The 25,016-nt window shown below is 46.9% G+C and overlaps 1 protein-coding gene across 18 annotated transcripts in view; it reads right to left on the minus strand.

The window, feature by feature from the left end:
* The window catches only part of FAM227A (family with sequence similarity 227 member A), a 78,275-nt gene that overhangs the window by 31,748 nt on the left and 21,511 nt on the right, over nucleotides 1-25,016 (minus strand). For 11 of the 18 annotated variants that reach the window (XR_937892.2, XR_937893.2, NM_001384270.1 and 8 more), the window contains 5 exons: nucleotides 18,969-19,070; nucleotides 18,373-18,477; nucleotides 16,315-16,438; nucleotides 13,295-13,414; nucleotides 10,347-10,426 (listed from right to left, as the gene is read on the minus strand). Coding sequence is in view for 16 of the 18 variants with exons in the window: in NM_001384270.1 (NP_001371199.1) it covers nucleotides 10,347-10,426; nucleotides 13,295-13,414; nucleotides 16,315-16,438; nucleotides 18,373-18,477; nucleotides 18,969-19,070 (531 nt within the window). In the remaining 2 variants the exon portion in view is untranslated. The remainder of the gene's footprint in view (nucleotides 1-10,346; nucleotides 10,427-13,294; nucleotides 13,415-16,314; nucleotides 16,439-18,372; nucleotides 18,478-18,968; nucleotides 19,071-25,016) is intronic. The other 7 variants (NM_001013647.2, NM_001291030.2, XM_006724292.3 and 4 more) reach the window with 3 other exon arrangements.

Here is a 25,016-nt window from a genome sequence, read left to right on the forward strand (position 1 = left end):
GGTTCAAGTGATTCTCCCGCCTCAGCCTCTTGAGTAGCTGGGACTACGGGCGCCCGCCACCACGCTTGGGTAGGTTTTTGTATTTTTAGTAAAGACAGGGTTTCGCCTTATTGGCCAGGCTGGTCTCGAACTCCTGACCTCAGGTGATCTGCCCACCTTGGCCTCCCAAAGTGCTGGGATTACAGGTGTGAGCCACTGGGCCCGGCCATTTTTTGTTTGTTTTTAAGAGACAGTGTCTTTACTCTGTCACCCAGGCTGGAGTGCAGTGGTGCAATGCAGCTGGGTCCACAGGCATGTACCACCACACCTGGCTAATTTAAAAAAAAATTTTTTTTTTGGTAGAGACAGGGAGTCTCACCATGTTGCCCAGGCTGGTCTCAAACTCCTGGGCTCAAGCCATCCTCCCACGTTAGTCCCCCAAAATGTTAGGATTACAGGCCTGAGCCACCACTCCTGGCAACCTGGCAAGGCTCATTCTTAACAGGCCTCAGAGAGTTCTGCGGTGGAGCAGAGAACAATGCGGGGGTATTCGCTTGGGTTTCAGTGACTAGACCCTCTTACTTGCTGGAGAGGCAGCTTGCTGATGCAGAGAGAGCTCAGACTGACAGTGTCCTGACATCAGCTGAGGTCAGCTGTGTGGCCTGGGGCAAGCCATTTATCCCCAGTCTATTACCTGCTTTGTCAAATAAAGATAAGAAGTAATAATGACCCACCTTGCAGGGCTGTTGTAAGGACTAGAGAGGATATATGCAAAGAAAACCCGAACATGGGAGGTGGAGGTTGCAGTGAGCTGAGATCACGCTATTGCAACAAGAGCGAAACTGCATCTCAAAAATAAACAATAACAAAAGAAAACCTGAACATGGTAGACTCCCCATAGAGACCACGTCCTTCCACTTAGAAAGTACTTTCCTGGGCCGGCGCGGTGGCTCACGCCTGCAATCCTGGCACTTTGGGAGGCTGGGGAGGGCCAATCACGAGGTCAGGAGTTTGAGACCAGCCTGGCCAATATGGTGAAACCCTGTCTCTACTAAAAATACAAAAATTAGCGGGGAGTGGTGGCAGGCACCTGTAACCCCAGCTACTTGGGAGGCTGAAGTAGGAGAATCATTGGAACCCGGGAGGCAGAGGTTGCAGTGAGCCGAGATTGTGCCATTGCACTCCAGCCTGGGTGACAGGGCAAGACTCCGTCTCGAAAAAAGAAAAAAAAAATCTTTCCTATCCATTCCCCGATGTTGTGACCAGCCACCACCCCAGGGGTGTATGAGGCAAGGTGACTACCATAAGGGTTGGGGGTAAACCAAGACTGTTCTGAGACCCCCTGTCCCATCCCAGCATAGAGGAGATGGAAGTGTTCCAGCCCACCTGGCCACCCAGCTGCTCAGATTCAGCACGCTGAGGGCTCAGTTGTTATTGTACAGAGTTGGGGGTTGGGGAGCCTAAATTTGAGCTACTATGAGATACAATCTAGGGATGCCTAGAAATGTCTGGGTGCGGAGGGAGCTGCGCAGACCTGGAATTAGCAGGTATGGGCAAGAGCTGCAAAAATCTTGAGTCCTTATTGTTAAGGACACTGACTATATCTATGCTGTTGAACTTGGGAAAATTCTGGTTAAATTAGTAGGTATTCTGACAAGACATAACTAAACGACAATCTCTGGGACATCACCTACCCCTAGATTGAATCTATAAGAATCAATACCAGTCGCGATGCCCATTTTGTGGATAAAAACATTGAGGCCTAGATTTGCCTCAAGCAATGTAACTGATAGGTGCATCACTTAGATGGAAATGTAGGTCTCCTGGCACCAAGCCCAGAAAGGCCAGCACTGTACCCCAGTGCCTTTGCCCGTGGTTCCACTGTAGTCGTGCACTCCTAGTTCCCATATTTTGGCTTGGGTAGAAATTGTTCTCTCTGTAAGCCAGGTCTCTCCTCCAAAGTCCAGTCTTGTATATTTACCCACTTGGCATCTATCTTCATTTGCACTTTTCATAGGCATCTTAAAGTTAACAAGTTCAAAGTTGAACTCTTGATAGCTTTCCACTAACCCAAACCCTACGCTGTCCATCTCAGTAAATGGCACCATTCAGATGCTGAAGCCGCACACCTGGGAAGCAACCTTCAACTCCGTCCTTTCTTCCCCCACTTCTCCTCCCCACTCCCAAAGCCAACCCACTAGCAAGTGTTGAAAGATCCATCTCCCAATGCGTCAGGTCTGTCTGCTTCTTGCCACCTTCCATATTTGTCATTTAGACAAATACGGAAGCCTCCCAGCTGGTCTTCTGTGCCCCTCCAATACATCCTCCATATTCAAAAGACAGTGTGATCTTTAAAAAATATAAATCACATCATGTCATCCCTAATGTAATGAATTATCATGGCACTTCAATTATATCCATATTCATATTCCTTTCTATGATGCTTACAACTCTGCAGCATCCAGCCCTGCCAACATCCCAGCCTTCGCTTGTGCTTCTCTTCTCACTCTCTGGGGTACAGTATTGGCCTTCTCTGTTTCCTGAACACTCGAGCTCTTTTTTTTCGCCTCAGGGCCTTTGCACATGCTGTCCCTTCTTCCTGGAAGGTTCTGCCATTTACTCTTCCAATGGCTGACTCCTCATCTCTTGGTTCTCAGCTCAAATGGTATCTTCTGGGGTCATTACTTGTTACATGTGTGCTTTTTCTTCTCCACATATGTGAAACCCATCCCCAAGGTAAGAGACTTAAGTTGCAGCTGGGGTGCAGACATTTCACCTAGGCTCTACCTGCAGATGCACCACCCCTGCCTGAGATTTCAAGATGGAAATGAGCAATGGGGAGGAAATGGGAAGTATGCGGACTCCAGTTTTTGGAGAGACTGTTGACAGGAGCAACTGGTTTTTCAAGGAGTAGAGTAGAACTTTTAACATCCAGTCCTCAGTCACACTGGCACACAGTAGCACACCTTGGCAGAGGCAGTATGGTTTGGCCATCATTCTTGGCAGCATGGCCTCTGAAGCTAACACGGAGACTCTTCCAGGGTAGCTGTGCACCTTTAATACATTTCTTTCTGCTTAATAGCTAGAGTGGATTCTACAGTTTGCAACTGAGAACTTTGGTGATGATTCCTCCTTACAGAGGCCTTCTTTCACTGTCTTTTTTTGGCACTACAAAAATTCTACAAAGAAATATATTTTTATATATATATTATATATATGTAAATATATTATATATAATTATATATATATATTATATATAATTATATATATATTATATATAATTATATATATAATATATATATTATATATTATATATCTATGCTGTATATATATTATATATAATATATATATATTATATTATATATATCTATGCTGTATATATATTATATATATAATATATAATATATAACATATATTATAACATATATTATATATCATATATAATATATATCATATATAATATATAACATATAATATATATCATATATAATATATAACATATATTATATAATATATATCATATATAATATATAACATATATTATATAATATATATTTATAATATATATGATATATATAATTTGTTTGTTTTCCCCCCTGCAAGGATCTAGGTCCAAGGTCCCAGCCCAGGGATGTCCTTGGACCCTGACAATGCAGTTTCTAGCTATCTCATCATCTTCCCAGAGACAAAGCTCAGGATCCTAATACTATGTGTTTGCACCTGACATATATAACGGGGAAGGTGTGTACAACTGGGTTTCACGGATGTTGGGAGTCCCTGAAATGTATGCCTTCCTGGCTCAAAGACATCATTTTTCCTAATCTCCAGCTGTGTTTCTCTAGGTACCACCCTTGTATAATATGATTAAGAGCTAATGTTTATTGAGTTCTTACTCTGTGCTATGCTGTTTGCTGAGTGCTTGCATGTAAGATCATATTTAACGCCCACATTGTGACTGATTTCTCTAGGTACCTATTTTACTGATAAGAAAACTGAGGTTCAGTGAGATGAAATGACTCATCTGAGAGCTAGAATTCTTTTTTTTGAGACAGGGTCTCGCTCTACTGCCCAGGCTGGAGTGCAGGGGTGCGATCTCAGCTCACTGCAACCTCTGCCTCCTGGGTTCAAGAGATGCCTCAGTCCCCCAAGTAGCTGGGACCACAGGTGCATGGCACCACGCCCATCTAATTTTTGTGTTTGTAGTAGAGACAGGGTTTCACCATGTTGGCCAGGTTAAGAGCTAGGATTCTAGTCCATGCCTAATTTGATAGTCTGGTCTCTCAACTATATACTACTTCTCCAGGTTTAGGACCTGGGGAGCTGGGAAAGGGGGACACAGAGTTGAGCTACTGTGCAAAGAGACGCAGGAGAGAATATCCTGCCTGCTGCTCTTTTCATCTCCCTGGTTTTCTCTCTCCCTATCATTTTCTCCCTCAGATTCCATTTCCTAAAACTTTTTATCTTTAAAAATATTTATTAAATGAACAAATGACTCAGTCTCTAATAGGTGGGTGTCCTAATTTATAGCTGGGTCTCATAGCAGAAGCCAGCTCTGTGGTTAGATACTTTTGCATTTCCACTGTGCAAATCCCTAACACTTAAACAAGAGAAGGGCAGACAGGAGACCAGAGATGGAAAGTAATTGCAACTCATTCCCCTGAATTGTGGACTCTCAGACAGACTACTGCCATTGAAATGCATATTTTGAACACAGCCAGCTCTTTCATTGAGCAGATGGGAAAACGTGTCTGCTCTTGATGAGAGAGGCTCTATCCCCACCACAAAACCCAATTACTCCCTCTATCCTGGTTTGCCCATTAAAACTTCAGCTGTGCTCAAGGTTCCAGAGTTTTTGATTATTTCTATTTTGGGGGCAGTAAATGGAATCTCTTAACTAGGTTCCTGAAATAACTGTCAGAAGAGTTTATGTATTTCAGTACAAAGAACACACGCTTGTTTCAAGCCATTGTGACAGGCAGTACCCAAACACTGAATAATATTTTGGTCTTGGTCTCTGGGTGATGGCTGTCCCTCTGCAGCACCTATGTCATCTGCACTTTTTGGGAACTGACGTTTACAGAGCACAGTCATATGCTAAGCACAGGGCCAAGAGTTTACATAGATGACCTCATTCACGAAGTCCAGAAATATTTGTTAAGTGTCTTCTTTGTGTTAGGTCTGTTCTAGGAGGTAAAAGAGATAGAACAGCAATAAATGTTACCCAGGCTGGAGTGCAGTGGCACGATCTTGGTTCACTGCAACCTCCGCCCCCTGGTTCAAGCAATTATCCTGCCTCAGCCTCCCCGTAGCTGGGATTATAGGCACGCACTGCCACGCCCAACTAATTTATGTATTTTTAGTAGAGATGGGGTTTCACCATGTTGGCCAGACTGGTCTTGAACTCCTGACCTCAAGTGATTCGCCTGCCTGGGCCTCCCAAAGTGCTGAAGATTACAGGCTTGAGCCATCGCGCCCGGACAGAGTTTACCTTCTAAGAGAGGGAGACAAACTCTAAACAACACATCAACCCAACAGGAAGATAAGTACTGTACAGAGATTGAGATAGGTTATGGGAAGACAGAGGCTGGCAGTCAGGGACAGCTTCTCTAGGGCAATGACAGTGAACCTGGCATCTGAGGGACAAGGAGGAACCAGATTTCCCCTCTGGATCCCTGAGGAAAGCAGATTCCAGGCAAAGAGGACAGCGAGTGCAAAGGCCCAACCAGGCATAGACCTGGCACGTCCAAGAGGCAGAAGGAAGTCCAGTGCCTGGTGCTGTGGGAGGGCATGGGTGCCAGGCACCTGCAGTGGGGGGGCCTGATTCTGTACGGCACTGCAAGTCAGGTGAGCGAGACTGGATTTTATTCCAAATGCAATGAAGAAGTTATTGGAGGTTTTAAGCAGGGAATAACCCCATCTGATGTATATCTGTAAAAGGTTACTCTGGTCACTATGTGGAGGCTGGGTTGGTGCTACAAGTAAAAGAAAGGAGCCCAGGTGGCAGCTGCTGCAGTCAGCCAGGCAAGAGAGGACACTGAGGGTTAGGAGTCAGGTGCTTTCCTCACCTGGATTGAGGTTCCTCAAATCCTCCTGGTGTGGCTGAGAAGGCTGGTGGATAGACAAGTACGAGTTCCGGGAGAGGCCAGGGCGAAGGTGGGTCACTGGCGTATGGGCGGTATTTGAAGCTACCAGACCAAATGAGGCCACCCAGGGAGAATATGTAGATACAGTAAGGAAGGGGGCTTGGGAAAGAGTAGACTGACAGGACAGGGAGCTGGCAGAGAAGATGGAGAGGGGTCAGCCAGTGAGGAAGGAAAACACTGTCAAAAGTTTGGCAACAAAGAAGCCAAGAGAACAAAGCGTCTCAAGAAGATGGGAGTGGCCAACCACACCAAACAGGTTAGAGGAGTGACTCAGTCCAAGCCAGTGGGGTCCCCGCGCTGTTGGCAAGAGCAGCTGCAGTGGCTGCCGGGGGCAGGAACCTGACAGGAGTAGCCAGGCAGAGATGGGGGTACAGAGGCATCTTTCAAGAAGTTCTGGGCTGGATGTGGCTCATGCCTGTAATCCCAGCACTTTGGGAGGCTGAGGCAGGTGGATTGCCTGAGATCAGGAGTTCGAGGCTAGCCTGGCCAACATGGTGAAACCCCGTCTCTACTAAAAATACAAAAAAAATTAGCTGGGCATGGTGGTGCAAGCCTGTAATCCCACCTACTCGGGAGGCTGAGGCAGAAGAATCGCTTGAACCTGGGAGGTGGAGGTTGCAGTGAGCCAAGATCATGCCATTGCACTCCAGCCTGGGCTACAGGAGCGAAACTCCATCTCAAAAAAAAAAAAAAATAATAAGTTCTGGAGTGAAAGGGAGCAAAAGATGGGGATGTGGAGTCAAGATAAGAGATGATGAAAGCACGGCTGTTCAGTGATGGGAATGACCCCACAGAATGGGAGGAAATGAAGATGCAGGAAAGAGGGGCGCTAAGGGCATCTCTACTTGGGAAGCTGAGGGCCAAGGTTCAGAACACAGGCTGGGGACTGACCTGGGAGGGGAGCAGGACCTCTCCATAGGCACAGAGATGGCAGATGGCGAGGGTGCAGAGGGGGGCAGGCTGTCTTGGTGGTGGGAAGGCACGGGCCTTCCTGCTGACTGCTTGTGATTTCTCAGTGAAGACCTTCCCTGGGTGGTGCTGGGGAGGAGGGCAGGTGGGGAAGGACACGCTGCAGGGGAAGTGTTTCGAAGGTGGGAGAATCTGGGCATGCTAGGGCAGTACAGTGGTGCGGCCAGGCAGCACTGAGTGCCCTTCTGAGCTGTGGGGCCGCACAGTCTTCAGAATGTCTGCAAGAAGGCACCATGGTTGTTGTATCTATTTTATACCCATAGAAACAAAGTCTTAGGGAAGTCAAATAACTTGCCTAAGGCCACACAGATGGAATCTGAACCTGTGAGAACAGACTTTTTTTTTTTTTTTTTTTTTGAGACAGAGTCTTGCTCCGTCACCAAGGCTGGAGTGCAGCGGCACGATCTCAGCTCACAGCAACCTCCGCCTCCCGGGTTAAAGCAAATCTCTTGCCTCAGTCTCCCGAGTAGCTGGGACTACAGGTGTGTGCCACCACACCCAGCTAATTTTTTGTATTTTTAGTAGAGATGGGGTTTCACCGTGTTAGCTAAGATGGTCTCGATCTCCTGACCTTGTAATCCGCCTGCCTTGGACTCCCAAAGTGCTGGGATTACAGGCGTGAGCCTCCACACCCGGCCGGAGGAGGCTGTCTTAATGAATTAAGCCTCCAATGCCATTTGTTAAGGAAGCATGTCATTAGAAATGGGGCATTCAGGTACTAGAAGTGGGAATGTTGTCCTAGGGTTTAAAGATTAGCGGGGAGGCTGGGCCTGGTGGCTCACCTATAATTGAAGCACTTCAGGAGGCTAAAGTAGGAGGATTGCTTGAGCTAGGAGTTCAAGACCAGCCTGGGCAACATAGCAAGACTTCTCTATTAAAAATTCATGGTGACATGTTCCAGCTACTCAGGAGGTTGAGGCAGTAGGATTACTTGAATCCAGGAGGACGCCACAGCACTCTGGCCTGGGCAACAGAGTGAGACCCTGTCTCTAAAAGAATAAACCAATTAAAAAAAAGATTAGCAGGGGAAACAGCCATGATCAGAGTAATAACCAAATAATTACATGAGTGCTCTGAAGGAAAGGGACATTGGCCTGTATAATAAGGAACATCATCCAGCCCAGAGGGGCAGAAAGCTGACCCTGAGGATGAGAGTGAAGGGGGTTAGAATCTGCCATCCCAAAATAGGCCACTTTGCATAGGAATTATTTTGAGCTGAAGGCAATTGAAAAACAGCAGATGCAGGAAATCTCTTTACAATTCCAGTTTCCATCTAAAAGCAGAGCATAAATTTTCCTTTGTGAAGGTGTCCCCACTTCCCATCTCCAGTACCAGGAAGAAGAGACAACTCATCACTGGAGATGGCACCCCTTGAATCTGCATATAGAAATCTTATTGAAAGAATCCTTATCTTCCATTAGTTTCTCCCATATATTTACCTTCCCACAATTTACCATCCCCAGAAGCCTAAACCTCTTTTCCTTTGTCTTGTCACATCTCCACAATTAATTGCTCTTTGTTAGGGTGGTATGTGAACTATCAGACCTAGCCACTTCCTTGAGGTTTTCGCTTTCTTCCAATGAAGTCCTGTGTCATGTAAAAATACTAACATCAAATAAAATTTGAATGCCTTTCTCCTGTTAAACTGTCTATCTTTTGTCAGTTTAACTTGTAGGGCTCCATACACTTTGCCTCAGAGGGTAGATAAAAGGTTTTTTTCCCTCCCTACAAGAATCTGAACTGAGATGGAAGGATGACTATATATCTCCTAGACCAGGGGTTAGCAAACTTTTTCTGCAAAAAGCCAGATGATAAATATTCGGCTTTGCAGGTCCTAAAGTCTCTATCGCAAGTACTCAACTCTGCTGTTTCAGTGTGAAGGTAGTTGTAGACAATAGTAAATGAATGGCCATGGCTGTGTGCCAATAAAGCTTTATTTTCAAAAACAGGCAGTGAAAGGTCTGATTCATAGTTTGCTAAACCCTGCCCTGGGATTTTTTTTTCCAGCTCTTCAGAAAAAAAAAAAAAAAAGCCTTTATTTGTGGCATTTGGTTAACTGCATGCTATCAATGTCTCTGGACTTGGGGGTTGGGAGGAAATGCTGACAGTGACAATGGCAATGGTGATAGGAGCTTACCTGGGACAAGAAGAACAGGAGGTACAGAGGCCACATACAGAAAGGGAGTGTGGTATACAAGGAAATAAAAGAAGTCCCCTGAGGCAGGACCCCTGAGAGCCCAGGAGGTTGGAGAAGGGGTTGAGCCAGATGAGCAAGGCTGTGCAAGTCAGTCTACTAAAGGCCAGAGGAAGCATTCTGGGGTGTGGAGGGTGTCATTTTATTGGCTAGAAGTAGGATCTTATTTATTTATTTATTTATTTATTTTTGAGACAGAGTCTTGCCCTGTTACCCAGGCTGCAGTGCAGTGGTGTGATCTCAGCTCTCTGCAACCTCTGCCTCCCGGGTTCAAGCAATTCTTGTGCCTCAGCCTCCTGAGTAGCTGGGACTACAGGTGCATGGCACCAAGCCTGGCTAATTTTTGTATTTTTAGTAGAGACGAGGTTTCACCATGTGGACCAGACTGGTCTTGGACTCCTGGTCTCAAGTGATCTGCCTGCCTTGGGCTCCCAAAGTATTGGGATTATAGGCGTGAGTCACTGTGCCTGGCCTGGAAGTAGGGTTTTTAGGGTCGGGGGATAGGATAGGGTCAGGTGGTGATGGGATGATGTACTTAGCTTTGCACTTTGAAAAGATGGCCCTAGAAGTATCTGAGAACCTGAGGGAGACCAGTTAGGTGCCTACTGCAGTAGTGATGGGAGCTCAAACTAGGGTGGTGGGAGTGGAAAAGTGAGAAACAGGTGGTTCTGGGAGGTACATCAGAAGGAACATCAATAGGGCAGAGGAGAAAGTACGTATCAGGGATGACTGCTAGGTTTCAGGTTTGCCATGAGGATTAGTGGAGAAAAAAAAATAAGTAAAAGCATCTTGCACTGCAGCCTACACTGAAAACCTGGTTCCTTCCCTCTCTCTTCTCAATCGCTGCATTTCTGTGAATGCCCCTTAGTATGCCACTTAGCCACTTACCCATGGGAGACCTGGAGGCCTCCCAGGGCTCCTCACTTAGAAGATGGAGTGGACCTGGGCAAGGGGTACAGAGATGTGCAACTAACCGGAGGCCACTGATGCTCCAGAAGAACCGAGGGTTCCTGAAGCTTATGGGACTCCAAAGGGGTCCTGGTCCGTGCCTCCCCACTTACCTGAGGGTGGTAGAATTTCCTGCTCTGGGCTGGCTTCTGGGAGAAGGCTCTCTTACCAGCAAACAAAGAAAACTCTCTCCCTATAGAAGGGGAAAAGCTGTTATTAATTCCTCTTGTCATGGGACAATGAAGATTGTAGCCCAGGAGCTTGAGACAGCCTCCTTTCTGGAGACAGTGACACCCACCAGATCTAGGGTCTCTCTGTTGACTCCACCTGCTGGGCAAGTTACCTAACCCTGGTCCTGTTAGACTGTGAACACTATCTCCCTCTAGGGTGAATGCACCAATTAAAGGAAATAATGTATGCACAGGGCCGGCGCGGTGGCTCACGCCTGTAATCCCAGCACTTTGGGAGGCCGAGGCGGGCGGATCACGAGGTCAGGAGATCGAGACCATCCTGGCTAACACGGTGAAACCCTGTCTCTACTAAAAAAAAAAATACAAAAAATCAGCCGGGCATGGTGGCGCGCGCCTGTAGTCCCAGCTACTCGGGAGGCTGAGGCAGGAGAATAGTGTGATCCTGGGAGGTGGAGCTTGCAGTGAGCCGAGATTGCGTCACTGCACTCCAGCCTGGGTGACATAATGAGACTCCGTCTCAAGAAAAAAAAGAAAAAAAAAGTATGCACAGCTCTGTGCATAGGGCAGACACTCAACCCACAGGAAAAAAAGGACTGGTTTCAGAAGAAAAACCAATTCAGAGCTCTGCAAAATTAAAATGCTTAAATGCTTAAGAAACAATCTATCAAACTCATAGCTGTTAAATTTAATATTCATTAAAATGTCATTAAACTCAAGCAATTTATGGGTTAGGTTTTTCTTCACTTTGAAAAAACTCCCTGAGTCGGCCGGGCATGGTGGCTCACGCCTATAATCCCAGCACTTTGGGAGGCCAAGGTGGGTGGATTGCTTGAGCTCAGGAGTTTGAGACCAGCCTGGGCAACATGGTGAAACCCTGTCTCACCCTGTATTTTTGTACTAAAAATACAAAAATTAGCTGGTGTGGTGGAGCATGCCTGTAATCCCAGCTACTTGGGAGGCTGAGGCTCAAGAATCGCTTGAACCTGGAAGGCAGAGGTTGCTGTGAGCCGAGATCACGCCACTGCACTCCAGCCTGGGTGACACAGAAAGACTCTGTCTCAAAAAAAAAAAAAAGAAAGAAAAGAAAAGAAAACAAGAAAAAAAAAAAAACTCCCTGAGTGTGCATGATGACTACAGGGAAATCGTATCTATGAAGGGATCAGGAAATGGAAATGCTTAGAGAGCTAACAGGTAAAAGTGTCTATGTCGGGAGGCTGAGGCAGGAGAATCGCTTGAACCTGGGAGGTGGAGGTTGCAGTGAGCTGAGATTGCGCCATTGCACTCCAGCCTGGGCGACAGAGCAAGACTCCAAAAAACCAAAAAGTGTCTGGCCCTGAATAAGTGCCAGCTTATAATTTCCAGCTAATAACCACCACCGTGCTCTGCTCTAAGGGTTTCAGGTATTCTATTACTTAGTGCCCTAAACCAGGGCTTCTCAAACTGGAACATGCTTCTAGATCACTGGAAGTCCTGATCAACTGCAGAGTCGGAGTCAGTTGATTTGGAGAGATGCTGATGCTGCAGGTCCTTGGACCAACACACCCTTCAAATCTCAGCTCAAACGCCACGTACTGACCTTCTCAAGGCTGGACTGGGTCCCCCTCCCGCTGTTGCCTTACCCCTCTGAATCCCCCCCACTGCAGTGCCCAATCCCCTGCAGGACAATTGTGTGGCCTGAGTTTCCCACTAGATCATGAAGAGGTGAGGTTGGAGGTGGAACTCTACTCCAGACCTAATTGAAGACTAGCTTCCTAAGACATGCCCACCAGGCATCAAGACAGTTTATCCATTCCCTAGCAATGACCAGACTTGGAATTTACCACCCCTTTTTCCAGAAATTTCTGAATAATCTGCCCCTTAATTTGCCTGTAATTAAAAGTGGGTTTAAATGAGCCTGCAGAACTGGCCCTGAGCTGTTCTTCTCAACACACTGCTTATGGGGTAGCCCTGCTCTGCAGAAGCAGTCAGAGAGCTGCAACAGTCAAGGTGAGCTGCTTTGTTCTACCACCAGCTCATCCTTGAATTCTTGAATTCCTTCCTGGAAAAAGCCATGAACCTTTCCAGGCAGAAGCCCCATTTCTGGGGCTCCTTGGCCCTGCAACAGAGGGACTGGGCTTGCCTCCACCACCATGTTCCCAGTGCTGAGCAGAGTGCCTGGCACCCAGAACTCATTATGGGTCTGCTGAGTGAAATAGAAAAGCTGACCTTGGACAAGTTGCTTCTCTGAGCTTTAGTTTCCTCATCCGTGAAGTGGATTTAGTGTGTACTTCAGCAGGTTGTCGTGAGGATTAAATAAAATGGGCTGGCCAGGCATGGTGGCTCACGTCTGTAATCCCAGCACTTTGGGAGGCCGAGGTGGGTAGATCATTTGAGGTCAGGAGTTCAAGACCAGCCTGGCCAACATGGCAAAACCCTGTCTCTACTAAAAATACAAAAATTAGCTGGGCGTGGTGGTGGGTGCCTGGGATCCCAGCTACTTGGGAGGATGAGGCAGGAGAATCACTTGAATCCGGGAGGTGGAGGTTGCAGTAAGCCGAGATCACACCACTGCACTCCAGCCTGGGTGACAGAGCAAGACTGTCTCAAAAAAAAAAAAAAAAAAAAAAAAAAGAGGCAGAGAGCCCAGCACAGTGCATGGCACACAGGTAGACACTCATTATCTGGCATCCACTATTCCAATACAAAATTCCATCCCCTGCCTCCCAACAATTATGTTGTACACTACAGTCCACAAGCACGAAGAATTTTGGTGGCTAATTTGGGGGTACCCGAGAGAGAACTTGACCTGAGGACATCAATGCTAAGGCCTCTCCTCCCTCAGTTAGATAGTGGTTGAGTATGGCAGTGGCAAAGAAGGCGGGAGGCTGTACCTGCTATCTTACCCTTTGTCAGTCTTCTTCTGTACAACATTAATTCTTCTCTGCGGAATCGCTCTGGGTCTAGTTCCGAGTAGTCCCAGCTGTCATAGCTCTGTGGGCTAGGATAGGTGCCTAAGGGAGGAGTCAAGAGTGAGAATGGGGCCGGGTGCGGTGGATCACGCCTGTAATCCCAGAACTTTGAGAAGCCAAGGTGGGAGGATTGCTTGAGCCCAGGAGACCAGCCTAGGCAACATAGTGGGACTCCGTCTCTATTTAAAAAGAAATTAAAAAAAGAGTGAAAATGGACGCTTCTGCAAAAGAGGCCTGGGGAGCCCCTGCTGGCTCCTGGGAGGCTGGGCTTCCAGTGTTAGCCCTGTCCCATGCTAGCCTTGTGGCCTTGGGTGAGTCACTTCCTCTCTAGAGGGCTTTGGCTTCTTCATCTGAAAAACGGGGATGATGACCCTGCCCTACGTGTCAGCTGGGTGTAAGGGTCACAACACACAGGTGTGTGAGTCCCTGACATGCTTTGCAAATGTGAAGACATCACAGTTATTTGTTTTCCATGTCCCCTGTTCTGGCTATACCATGAGTTCCCTGAGAACAGGGAGTGGGTCTTCTTCTTTATACCTCCAGAGCTCTAGATCTGGCACATAATAAATACAGTAGGTGCTTAGTAAATGTTTAACATGATCACACTTAGCTTAGTGCCAGAAATGGTTTCTCTTTACGTGTTTGACAGTGATGCTTCCAAGGATTACTTGAGACATTTGAGCCACTATGCAAAGCTGCTGGCTCCATTGGACAAAGTGGACAGGGGGTTTATTACTGGGGATAAATTGGGGTAAGAAGGTGTAGCCTTGGACGTTAAAGGGAACAGCAAGGTGCAACGGCAAGAAGAGAAGACAGTCAGAAAATGGGAGGCAGGGTGGCATAATGGTCAAAGACCCAGCTTTGGAGTGGCACAGCCCTGGAATCAACACTTGTTCAGTGCTCATGCCTGTAATTCCAGCACTTTGGGAGGCTGAGGCAGGTGGATCACCTGAGGTCAGGAGTTCGAGACCAGCCTGACCAACATGGTGAAACCCCATCTCTACTAAAAATACAAAAATTAGCCGGGCATGGTGGCATGCACCTGTAATCCCATCTACTCAGGAGGCTGAGGCTGGAGAATCACTTGCACCCTGGAGGCAGAGATCCTGCCATTGCCCTCCAGCATGGGCAATAAGAGCAAAACTCCATCTCAAAAAAAAAAAAAGATTAAATGGGTGTGCAGAAGAGTTAACACAGCAGGCCTGAGACTGCTATCCTTAGAAAGGCCTGCTTGCGAGGATGCCTTGGCTGGCCTCTGGGAACCTGGCTAGTAAACAGTTTCTTCCACTAATATAAAACTCTCTTAACGGAAGAAGAATGGCTCGTTGTGCCTATACTGTTGGTAGAAACTATGTGGCTTATGCTGAACACTGCCTTCCTGGAATTGTGGTACGTGACAGACAGAGGTGTCTATGTGACGATCCCAATGAAAACTTTGAGGACTCCAGCTCTAATGGGCTTCCCTGGGCAGAAGCAACACACACATGTTGCTAGATTTTCATTGTAGGGGGATGAGTGGGTTCTGTATGACTCCTTATGGGAGGGAGGGGCATAAGGAAGTCTGCGTATGGATTCCTCCAAACTCTACCTTTTTCCCTTATAATCCAGCTCTATTTCCTTACTACATTACTGTAATAAATCATAGCGAGACTACACTTAAACGCAGAGACCTATGAGTTCTTCTAGCAAATCTTCTAACATGGGGGTGATCTTAGGAAGCCCCAACACAATAGGAAATTTAAAAGTGCTTACTTAGCACAGCACCAGGTACACAGGAACCTTCCTATAAATGGTAGCTTTTAATGAACTTAGAAAATGTCAAGGTTGAGGTGGGGGAGGGGACTAGGAGGCGGTTGAAAAAGCAGACATCTGCCGGGTATGGTGGCTCACGCCTGTAATCCCAGCACTTTGGGAGGCCTTGTTGGGCGGATGACGAGGTCAGGAGATCAAGACCATCCTGGCTAACACAGTGAAACCCCGTCTCTACTAAAAATACAAAAAATTAGCTGGGCGTAGTGGTGGGCACCTATAGTCCCAGCTACTCGGGAGGCTGAGGCAGGAGAATGGCAAGAACCCGGAAGGCTGAGGTTGCAGTGAGCAGAGATTGTGCCACTGCACTCCAGCCTGGACGACAGAGCGAGATCCGTCTCAAAAAAAAAAAAAAAAGAAAGAAAGAAAAAGCAGGCATCAAGCTGGTCCTGTGTGTGCTGGAGGGAGAGAACCATGATTGGCCACTGGGGGGTCACATGGAGGGTAGAAGGGTGGGATGATCTAAACCCGCATACTGCTTTTGAGTCCCTGAGTCCTGGGTGCAGCAGCCCACAGCACATGGTTAACTAACAGGGCTGTGTTGAAACTTTGCTATCTTATTAGGATATGGCCCCTCACTCCCTGTAGATGTAGCTGAACACAAAAAGGGGATTAGGGGCCAGGCGCCATGGCTCATGCCTGTAATCCCAGCACTTTGGGAGGCCGAAGCAGGCGGATTATGAGGTCAGGAGGTTGAGACCAGCCTGACCAACATGGTGAAACCCTGTCTCTACTACAAATACAAAAATTAGCCGGGCATGGTGGTACATGCCTGTAATCCCAGTACTCAGGAGGCTGAGGCAGGAGAATCACTTGAACCTGGGAGGCGGAGGTTGCAGTGAGCCCAGATCGCACCATTGCACTCCAGCCTGGGTGACCGAGCGAGACTCTATCTCCAAAAAAAAAAAAAAAAAAAGGATTAGGAAGGGATGTCTCAGAACTGTTTTGAGGAAGCAGGAAAATTTGTATTCCTTGGGGCTCCAACCACATACTTTGCTCTCTTTAATGTTAAGGAGAGAAAAGAGAGAATGCCTTCATGAAGGGGTGTCATAGCAAACAATAACATACCTAGGTGCCAGCGGAAAACATTTTTCTAGAATCGCTTTCCCCGGTGGAAAAAAGTCACCTCTCACCTGAAATCCACAGGCTCATTGTGTTACAGATGTCAGACTTGAATTCGTGCGTGTCGAACCAGGACTGTGGAAAGCAGCAACAGAAGCTGGTGTACACGGCTTTGCTGAGAAGTGATGGCAGCCTCTGCGGAGCAAGCCGAGCTCAGGCAACGTTCTCAACATTTCCACCCGGCTTACATGATTTGGGGATGAGGAAGGACTTTCTTTTTTTATATATAGTTTTTGTTGTTGTTGTTGTTTAGAGACAAGGTTCTCACTGTGTTACCCAGGCTGGATTTGAACTCCTGGCTGAAGTGATCCTCTAATCCACTTGCCTCAGCCTTCTCGGTAGCTGGGAATAGAGGTGTGTACCACTGCACTTGGCTATACTCTTTAATTTACACAATCTAAGAAGTAAAATGGGGCCGGGTGCGGTGGCTCACGCCTGTAATCACAACGCTTTGGGAGGCCGAGGCGGGTGGATCACCTGAGGTCAGGAGTTTGAGACCAGCCTGGCCAACATGGTGAAACTGTGTCTCTACTAAAAATAAAAAAAATAAAAAAAAATAGCTGGGTGTGGTGGTGCATGCCTGTAATCCCATTTACCTGGGAGGCTGAGGCAGGAGAAGCACTTGAACCAGGAGGACAGAGGTTGCAGTGAGCTGCGACCGTGCACTCCAGCCTGGGCGACAGAGAGACTCTGTCTCAAAAAAAAAAAAAAAAAAAAAAAAAAATATATATATATATATATATATACACGTATATATATTCTATATATAGAGAGAGAAATTAGCTAGGTGTGGTGGTGCATGCCTGTAGTCCTAGCTACTCAGGAGGCTGAGGTAGGGGGATAGTTCAAGCCTAGGAATTTGAGGCTACAGTGAGTTATGATTGCACCACCCTGGCAGCAAAGCCAGACTCTGTTTCTAGAGAAAAGAAAACAAAGAAAGTCCTTCCTCATCCCTAAATCATGTAAGTATTCACTTATATTTTCTTCTAGCAATCCTTTTAGTATATATATACATACATATATACCTATATAAAAAGTATATATGTGTAGTCACATTTTAAATTTTAAAATTATATGCTTATTTAAATACTACAGAAAAATATAAAATGGAAAGGGAGGCCGGGCGCAGTGGCTCATGCCTGTAATCCCAGCACTTTGGGAGGCCGAGGCAGGCAGATCACTTGAAATCAGGAGTTTGAGACCAGCCTGGCCAACATGGTGAAACCCTGTCTCTACTAAAAACACAAAAATTAGCCGGGTGTGGTGGTACGCACCTGTAATCCCAGCTACTCGGAAGGCTGAGGCAGGAGAATTGCTTGAACCCAGGAATTGGAAGTTGCAGTGAGTCGAGATCATACTACTGCACTCCAGCCTGGGCGACAGAGTGAGACTCTGTCTCAAAATAAATAATAAAATGGAAAGGGAAAGTTTTTTTTTTGTTTGTTTGTTTTTTTGAGGCAGAGTCTCACTCTGTTGCCCAGGCTGTAGTGCAATGCTGCAATCTCGGTTCACTGCAACCTCCGCCTCCCGGGTTCATGTGAACCCTGCCTCAGCCTCCCGAGTAGCTGGGATTACAGGCAACTGCCACTCACTCCCAGCTAATTTTTGTATCTTTAGTAGAGACAGGGTTTTGCCATGTTGACCAGGCTGGTCTTAAACTCCTGACCTCAGGTGATCCGCCCGCCTTGGCCTCCCAAAGTGCTGGGATTACAGGTGTGAGCCACCATGCCCGGCTGGGAAAGTTTCTTATAACCTCACTTCCCAGTGATAAGCATTGCTAAGAGTTTGGTAAATATTTTTCCAGGTTTTTTTTTTCTATTCATAGGTATATATATCATATAGAGTTGTACAAATTGCTTTGTTTTTCACTTAAATATATCATTGCATCTCCCGATCAGTATAAATAGCTCTACTGTATTTTTGTAACTTCTGCATTGCAAGTCAGTGTATGGATTATGACAATTTACTAATTACTCCCTTATGTAAAGAATGTTTAAGACATTCTCTTGGCATCAGAAATGAACAGAAATCTAATGTGACTTTTTTTCTAGATAGTGGCTGATGCTCACTTTTAAGAGCGCCTCTTCAGAGTGGGACTTGGGTACACGAAACAAAAGTAAGGCATAGTGCTGGGCTATCCGGTCAAACAGATTATTCTGGAGCTCCTTGTTTGGCTGCCAGGAATAGAAATGAAAAAGGAATTACTAAAGTCCCTTGCTGAAACAACTGAGGGGCTGGGATTTTTAAATCAGTATTGTTTTCATTTCCAAGAATCTTATTCTCAAGATATTTAGCCTCATATGCTTTATGAAATAATGTGTTCATTTTTGGGGATAAGATGTACAAAGCACGTACACAGAGGCAGAGCGCTGTTGAAGACGGCACCCTAACACTGGCCCAGAAGTCCTGAGGTCTACTCTCAACCCTGCCTGTGACAGCTGTGCAACCAGCTCCTAAAGCCTGGGGGAGCCGCAGGGCATTGTGCAATGGCTGAAGCACAGGGTGTGTGGCTGAGGCATGGGACGGGAGGGGACTGGGTGACAGGGGAGGCTGTGGGGTGCTCCATGGGATCAGAGGGGCTTGTAGCTCATGTCAAAGAGAATGGAATTTGTTCTGTAGAAAAATAACTTAAGCAAGGCAGAGAAACAAGCAGATTTGTATTTACCTGGTACCTCTCATGAAATATCCACCAAAAGCTATCCAGCCAGATGGCTCTTGGAGAAGAAGAAGAGAGAAACTTCTCTAATTCTCTACCTGAACAGAAATGCTTGGAAAAAAAAATTCACAGTATTATTATTGTTGTTATCTTTTTAAAAATCCATCTGGAGTCAATGTATTTTAGAATGAACAGAAAAACCACCTAATCTGTTAGTGAGGCCCTACCCAGGTAATTTTACATACTCTCATTTAACCCCTATAATAGTCTTATGAGGAATACATCATTATCTCATAGATGAGGAAACCGAGGACCAAAGTGGCAAGTGGCTGAGCCAGGACTGGAACCCACAAATCTAGACTCTGGACAGCTGCTCCACACCAACTACCTCCAGCTCTCACCTCCTACACTCAGCCAACAGCAACTAATATCAACCAACGCAGTTAATGGGCAAACATAAACCACTGAACTATAAGATTCTGCTGAGTTAGCAGTAAGCATGTGGAATTCTAAAGTTAAAATGGAATTATCCGTGAGCTCAGAGCAGCAGAGATGTAGCTTCCGTTGTCATACAACTGGGTCTTCACCCTTGCCCTGGCTCCAAAGCTCCCACTATAATAATATAACATGTACCATTTAGTGAACACTTCCTGTATCTGCCCCAGGGCTAACACCTCCTCTCACTTTATTTTCCACAATCTATGTGGTAGGTAGTACAGTTATCCTACTGTATAGAAGAGGAAAGTAAGGACTGAAAGGTCAGCATTCTTGCCTGAGCTTACATGGGCCAGGAGGTTCCAAAGCGAGTAGCCTGGGCCCAGACTCACACACAGGTGCCTCTCCTTTACCATCAGGAAGCGTGCCTCTTCTTTACCATCACTCACACACAGGTGCCTCTCCTTTACCATCAGGAAGCGTGCCTCTTCTTTACCATCACTCACACACAGGTGCCTCTCCTTTACCATCAGGAAGCGTGCCTCTTCTTTACCATCACTCACACACAGGTGCCTCTCCTTTACCATCAGGAAGCGTGCCTCTTCTTTACCATCACTCACACACAGGTGCCTCTCCTTTACCATCAGGAAGCGTGCCTCTTCTTTACCATCCATCACTCACACACAGGTGCCTCTCCTTTACCATCAGGAAGCGTGCCTCTTCTTTAACCATCACTCACACACAGGTGCCTCTCCTTTACCATCAGGAAGCGTGCCTCTTCTTTGCCATCACTCACACACAGGTGCCTCTCCTTTACCATCAGGAAGCGTGCCTCTTCTTTAACCATCACTCACACACAGGTGCCTCTCCTTTACCATCAGGAAGCGTGCCTCTTCTTTACCCGCACTCACACACAGGTGCCTCTCCTTTACCATCAGCCATCTCTGGGATGCAGACGGAAAGACCCGGTGGCATTGCCCTGCAGCCTCCGCACAGGTAAGATCGACATGCATGGATAAACGAGCCTCATCCACTCGTAAGGAGCTCTCTGAGCCCCGCTCTTTGCTTTGTCTTTCTCACTTTTCCTCGTGTTTCTTCAGACTGGCAGTCTAGTGGAGTGATTAAGAGCACAGACTTGGGTGCCAGACTGCCTGGATTCAAATCCAGCTCTTTCACTTATTGGCTGTGTGACTTTGAGCAAAGTTACTGAACCCCTCTGTGCTCGATTCTTTCACAAAACACATGGAGATGGTCATGGTCCCCGCCTCAAGGACTGTTGTGGAGGTTCGATGAGTGGTTCCTATTAGGGCTTAGAACACTGCCAGGCATTCAGGAAACACTTGACAGGAGTATACTAGTTACTGATTGTTTATTCATTCACACTCCTCCCACCTTTCAAAAAGGATTTCATGTCAGCTCTTCAACAAATATTTATTGAGCACCTCCAGGTGCTCAAGATGATGCCATAGACTCCCTGCCCTCCAGGGTTTCACAGATAAAGAGACATTTACAACAGTGTGATAGGATCCCCGGGACAAGGCATCCCAGGGGGATGTGGAGCCCAGAGAGGGCATCTCATCTGCGCTTCAGGTCTCGGGACAGTGTTACGAGTAAAAATAACTGGATGGCCAGGCGCAGTGGCTCACGCCTGTAATCCCAACACTTTGGGAGGCCGAGGCAGGTGGATCACCTCAGGTCAGGAGTTCGAGACCAGTCTGGCCAACGTGGTGAAACCCTGTCTCTACTAAAAATACAAAAATTAGCCAGGTGTGGTGATGCGCATCTATAATCCCAGGCCCTTGAGAGGCTGAGGCAGGAGAATCGCTTGAACCTGGGAGGCGGAGGTTGCAGTGAGCCGAGATTGCACCACTCTACTCCAGCCTGGGCGACAGAGCGAGTGTCTTACTCAAAAAAACAAAACAAAACAAAAACTGGATGATGCAGCCATAAAAAAAGAATGATATCGTGTCCTTTGCAGCAACATAGATGGAGCTGGAGGCACTATCCTAAGTGATCTAACTCAGAAACAGAAAACAAAATACTGCATGTTCTCACTTATAAGTGGGAGCTGAACACTGGGTACGCGTGGACATAAAGATGGAAACAATAGACACGGGGGACTCTCAAAAGGGGGAGGATGATGAGGACGAGGGTTGAAAAATAACTTGTCTGGTACAATGTTTGTTATTTGGGAAATGGGTTCACTAGAAGCCCAATCCTCACCAGTATGCAATATACTCATGTCACACACATGCACAGGTACCCTCGAGTCAAAAATAAAATATGATGTAAGAAAATAACTGCATGATGAAGGGAGAGCTGAGAGCTCCTCAGAGACGGGGAAAGCGTGTGCAGAGGCTATGGAAGCACTTGACACATGTGGGGTACTCCAAGGGGTTTCTGTGCAGTGGAAGCACTGGGTGCAGGTGGCGAAAGAGCAAGCAGGAGCCAGGCTATGAGGCGCCTGGTGCCGGGACTGGGAGCGGTTCTGAAACTGGACAGGGGGAGAAAAGGTACTGGTGCTGAGACATTTTCAACAGGGCAGAACACTGTGACATTGGTGTTCTAGAAAGATCCCTGGTGGCAGTGTACAAGACGCACTGGAGGGGATTAGAACTGCAAGGCAGACAGCGCTGGGCAGAAGACACAGTAACCCAGACAGGAAGTTGTGGTGCCTGAACTTGACAGTGGCCAGTGGGAAGGGGAGGAGACACAGGAAAGACGGTAGTTAAATCTTCCTAAGAGTGCGCAGAGGTAGAGATGAGGGTAAGGGAGGAGACTGGCTGATGCCCAGGTGGAAAGCTGTGTTTTCAACAAGACGGCGAGCCCTGGAGGAAAAGCAGAACGGATGGGTATGAGAGCCTGAGGGGCACTGAGGTTAGATAGAGGCAGAGGGATGGAGCGATATGGGAGTCTGCAGTGTAGTGAAGGCCTTGGAGGAAGTGACACAATTCTGAAGTAGTGATTGGTCTCATGTGGGAATATGATTGCTATGGTCTGAATGTGTTCCCCAAAGTTCATGTACTAGAAACTTAATCCCCAGTGCAACAGTGTTGGAAGCTGGGGCCTAAGAAGAGGTGACTGGGTTAGAGGGCTCCACCCTCATGAATGGATTAATGTGGTTATCTGGAGGTGGGTCAGTTACAAAAGCAATTTCAGTCCTTTCGCCCCCTCTCTTCCATCTTCTACCATGGGATAACACAGCACGAAGGCCCTCACCAGATGTGGCCCCTTGATCTTGAACCTGCCAGCCTCCAGAACTGAAAGAAATAAATCTCTGTTCTTTATAAATTACCAGTCTCAGATATTCTGTGATAGCAGCACAAAGAGACTAAGACAATGACCAAGGTCCACCTGCCCCCTAGGGTTTGTGCAGAGAGAGACGACAGAGAGTAGAAGGGAGGGGTCCCAAAGAACATGGGTGATAAAGGGGCCTGGGACACCAAGATAGTGCTGTTTGCATAGAGGGAGAATGACCCACCAAAACCAAAGGGGAAAGAACTTCAAAATGCAGGGAGTTGTCCTCTGGGTCAGTTCTACCAGAGGTCATCTAATAACAACAGAAACACAGTCTTTAGATTCGACAAGGTGAAAGCTAATGATTGACTCGGGACACTTTCAGCAGTGGGTGAGGGTGGGAACCCAGGCCACAGCTGGATGAAGAGAATGGAGATGAGAACATGAAGCCAGCATATGTGGACAGCTCCTCCAAGAAGTCCCAGGCGAGGGCTGGTGCGGAGCTGAGAAGGCACTCCCAGATGGGGCAAGGTGGGAAAGGCTTTTGTCCTTGTGGAGCTCAGGGTTGCTGGCAGCCCCCAGACTCTCTAAAGCAGAGGCACAGCTGATGCCAAGAGTGAGGGGAGGTAACGGAGGAGAGGATTTGAGGAGGTGAGTGAAAGTTTGACATGGCCCCTAAGCAGAGTAGAAGAAGGTCCTTTCGAAGACGGGGCACAAATTTGCTTTGAGTTTCCTGGGAGCCAAAGAAAAGCAAGAAACAGTATCAGCTGTAAGGCTGAAACCATTCCGGGAGTTGCACAGTTTTATTTGTAGTAAGTCTGAAGGAAAACGTTCCTCATAGGACCTCAAAAATGGGGCATTAAATAACATAGCAGTCTGTCCTTGGGGGCTTTCCACCCCGCAAATGAATTGTGAACACTCAGGCTGTGCCCAGGCAGTCTGTCAAGGCAAACTGTGCAGGAACAGCGGGTCCAAGAAGCACAACTCCATGTGCTTCTTACAGACAATTTGAAAATAGAAGAAGTAAAAGGAAGAAAACAACTATAATATTTTTTTGTTTGTTTGAGATGGAGTCTCACTATATCCCCAGACTGGAGTGCAGTAGTGCCATCTTGGCTCACTGCAACCTCCACCTCCCGGGTTCAAGCAATTCTCCTGCCTCAGCCTCCTGAGTAGCTGGGATTACAGGTGTGTGTCACCACGCCTGGCTAATTTTTGTATTTTTAGTAGAGACAGGGTTTCACCACATTGGCCAGGGTGGTCTTGATCTCCTGATCTCGTGATCCAACCACCTTTGCCTCCCAAAGTGCTGGGATTACAGGCGTAAGCCACTGTGCCCGGCCTATCATCTTATAACCTTGTAACTCAGAGACCAGTGGTAATATCTATGTATTTCATTTAAAATTTTCCCACGTGTGCACTTACATAGATTGAATTATTGGCCAGGTGTGGTGGCTCACACCTGTGATCCCAGCACTTTGGGAGGCGGAGGCAGGTGGACCACTTGAGGTCAGGAGTTCAAGACCAGCTTGGCAAACATGGGGAAACCCTGTCTCTACTAAAAATACAAAAAATTAGCCAGGCATGGTGGCTGCATATCTGTAGTCCCAGCTACTCAGGGAGGCTGAGACAGGAGAAGTGCTCGAACCCAGGAAGGGGAGGTTGCAGTGAGCTGAGACTGTGCAACAGCACTCCAGCCTGGGAGACAGAGCAAGACTCTGTCTCAAAAAAAAAAAAAAAAAAAAAAGATTGAATTGTAGAGAGTTTTCCATACTGATACTTTTCATTCAACAACACAGCATGAAATGTTAACATACACTCTTTATAAACATTCACTTTTATCATCACATTTTATCATGGCTACACAGTCCATGATATAGATGTCAAAAATGACCATGCTGTTCCTCTATTATTGACCATTAAACTGTTTCTAATAACACTAATCATACAAACTACCGTTTTCTTAGAATTTATGACTTTTAGCACTGTGCTAGGCACCTTTACATGCATTATCTTATTTATTTCACAATAACACCTCAAGGTAGAGACTGATTTTATCTCCATTTTACAGGAGAAGAAATTAAAGCTCAGAGAGGCGCTTAACCACCCAGATGTACTGCTTTCCACTTCCTTGCTATTGTAACGAACACTGTGGTGAGCATCTTTGTACACTGTCCTGTAGGGAACGTGATGCTCTGAGCACCTGTCCCTCCTACTGCCTCTCCCGAGGAAAGCAGGAGCAAAGGGAATCAGGTACCCAACACCTGGGCCACCGCTGCCAGGCCCAGAGACCAGCGCCCCTTCCACTGACTGACTGCAGGCCATGCCAGCAAACAGCACTGTCATTCTGGGCAGTGACTGGCCCAAACAGATCATCTCTCTTAG

This window comes from Homo sapiens, chromosome 22 (genome assembly GCF_000001405.40).
Source record: "Homo sapiens chromosome 22, GRCh38.p14 Primary Assembly".
Taxonomy (NCBI): Eukaryota; Metazoa; Chordata; class Mammalia; order Primates; family Hominidae; genus Homo; species Homo sapiens.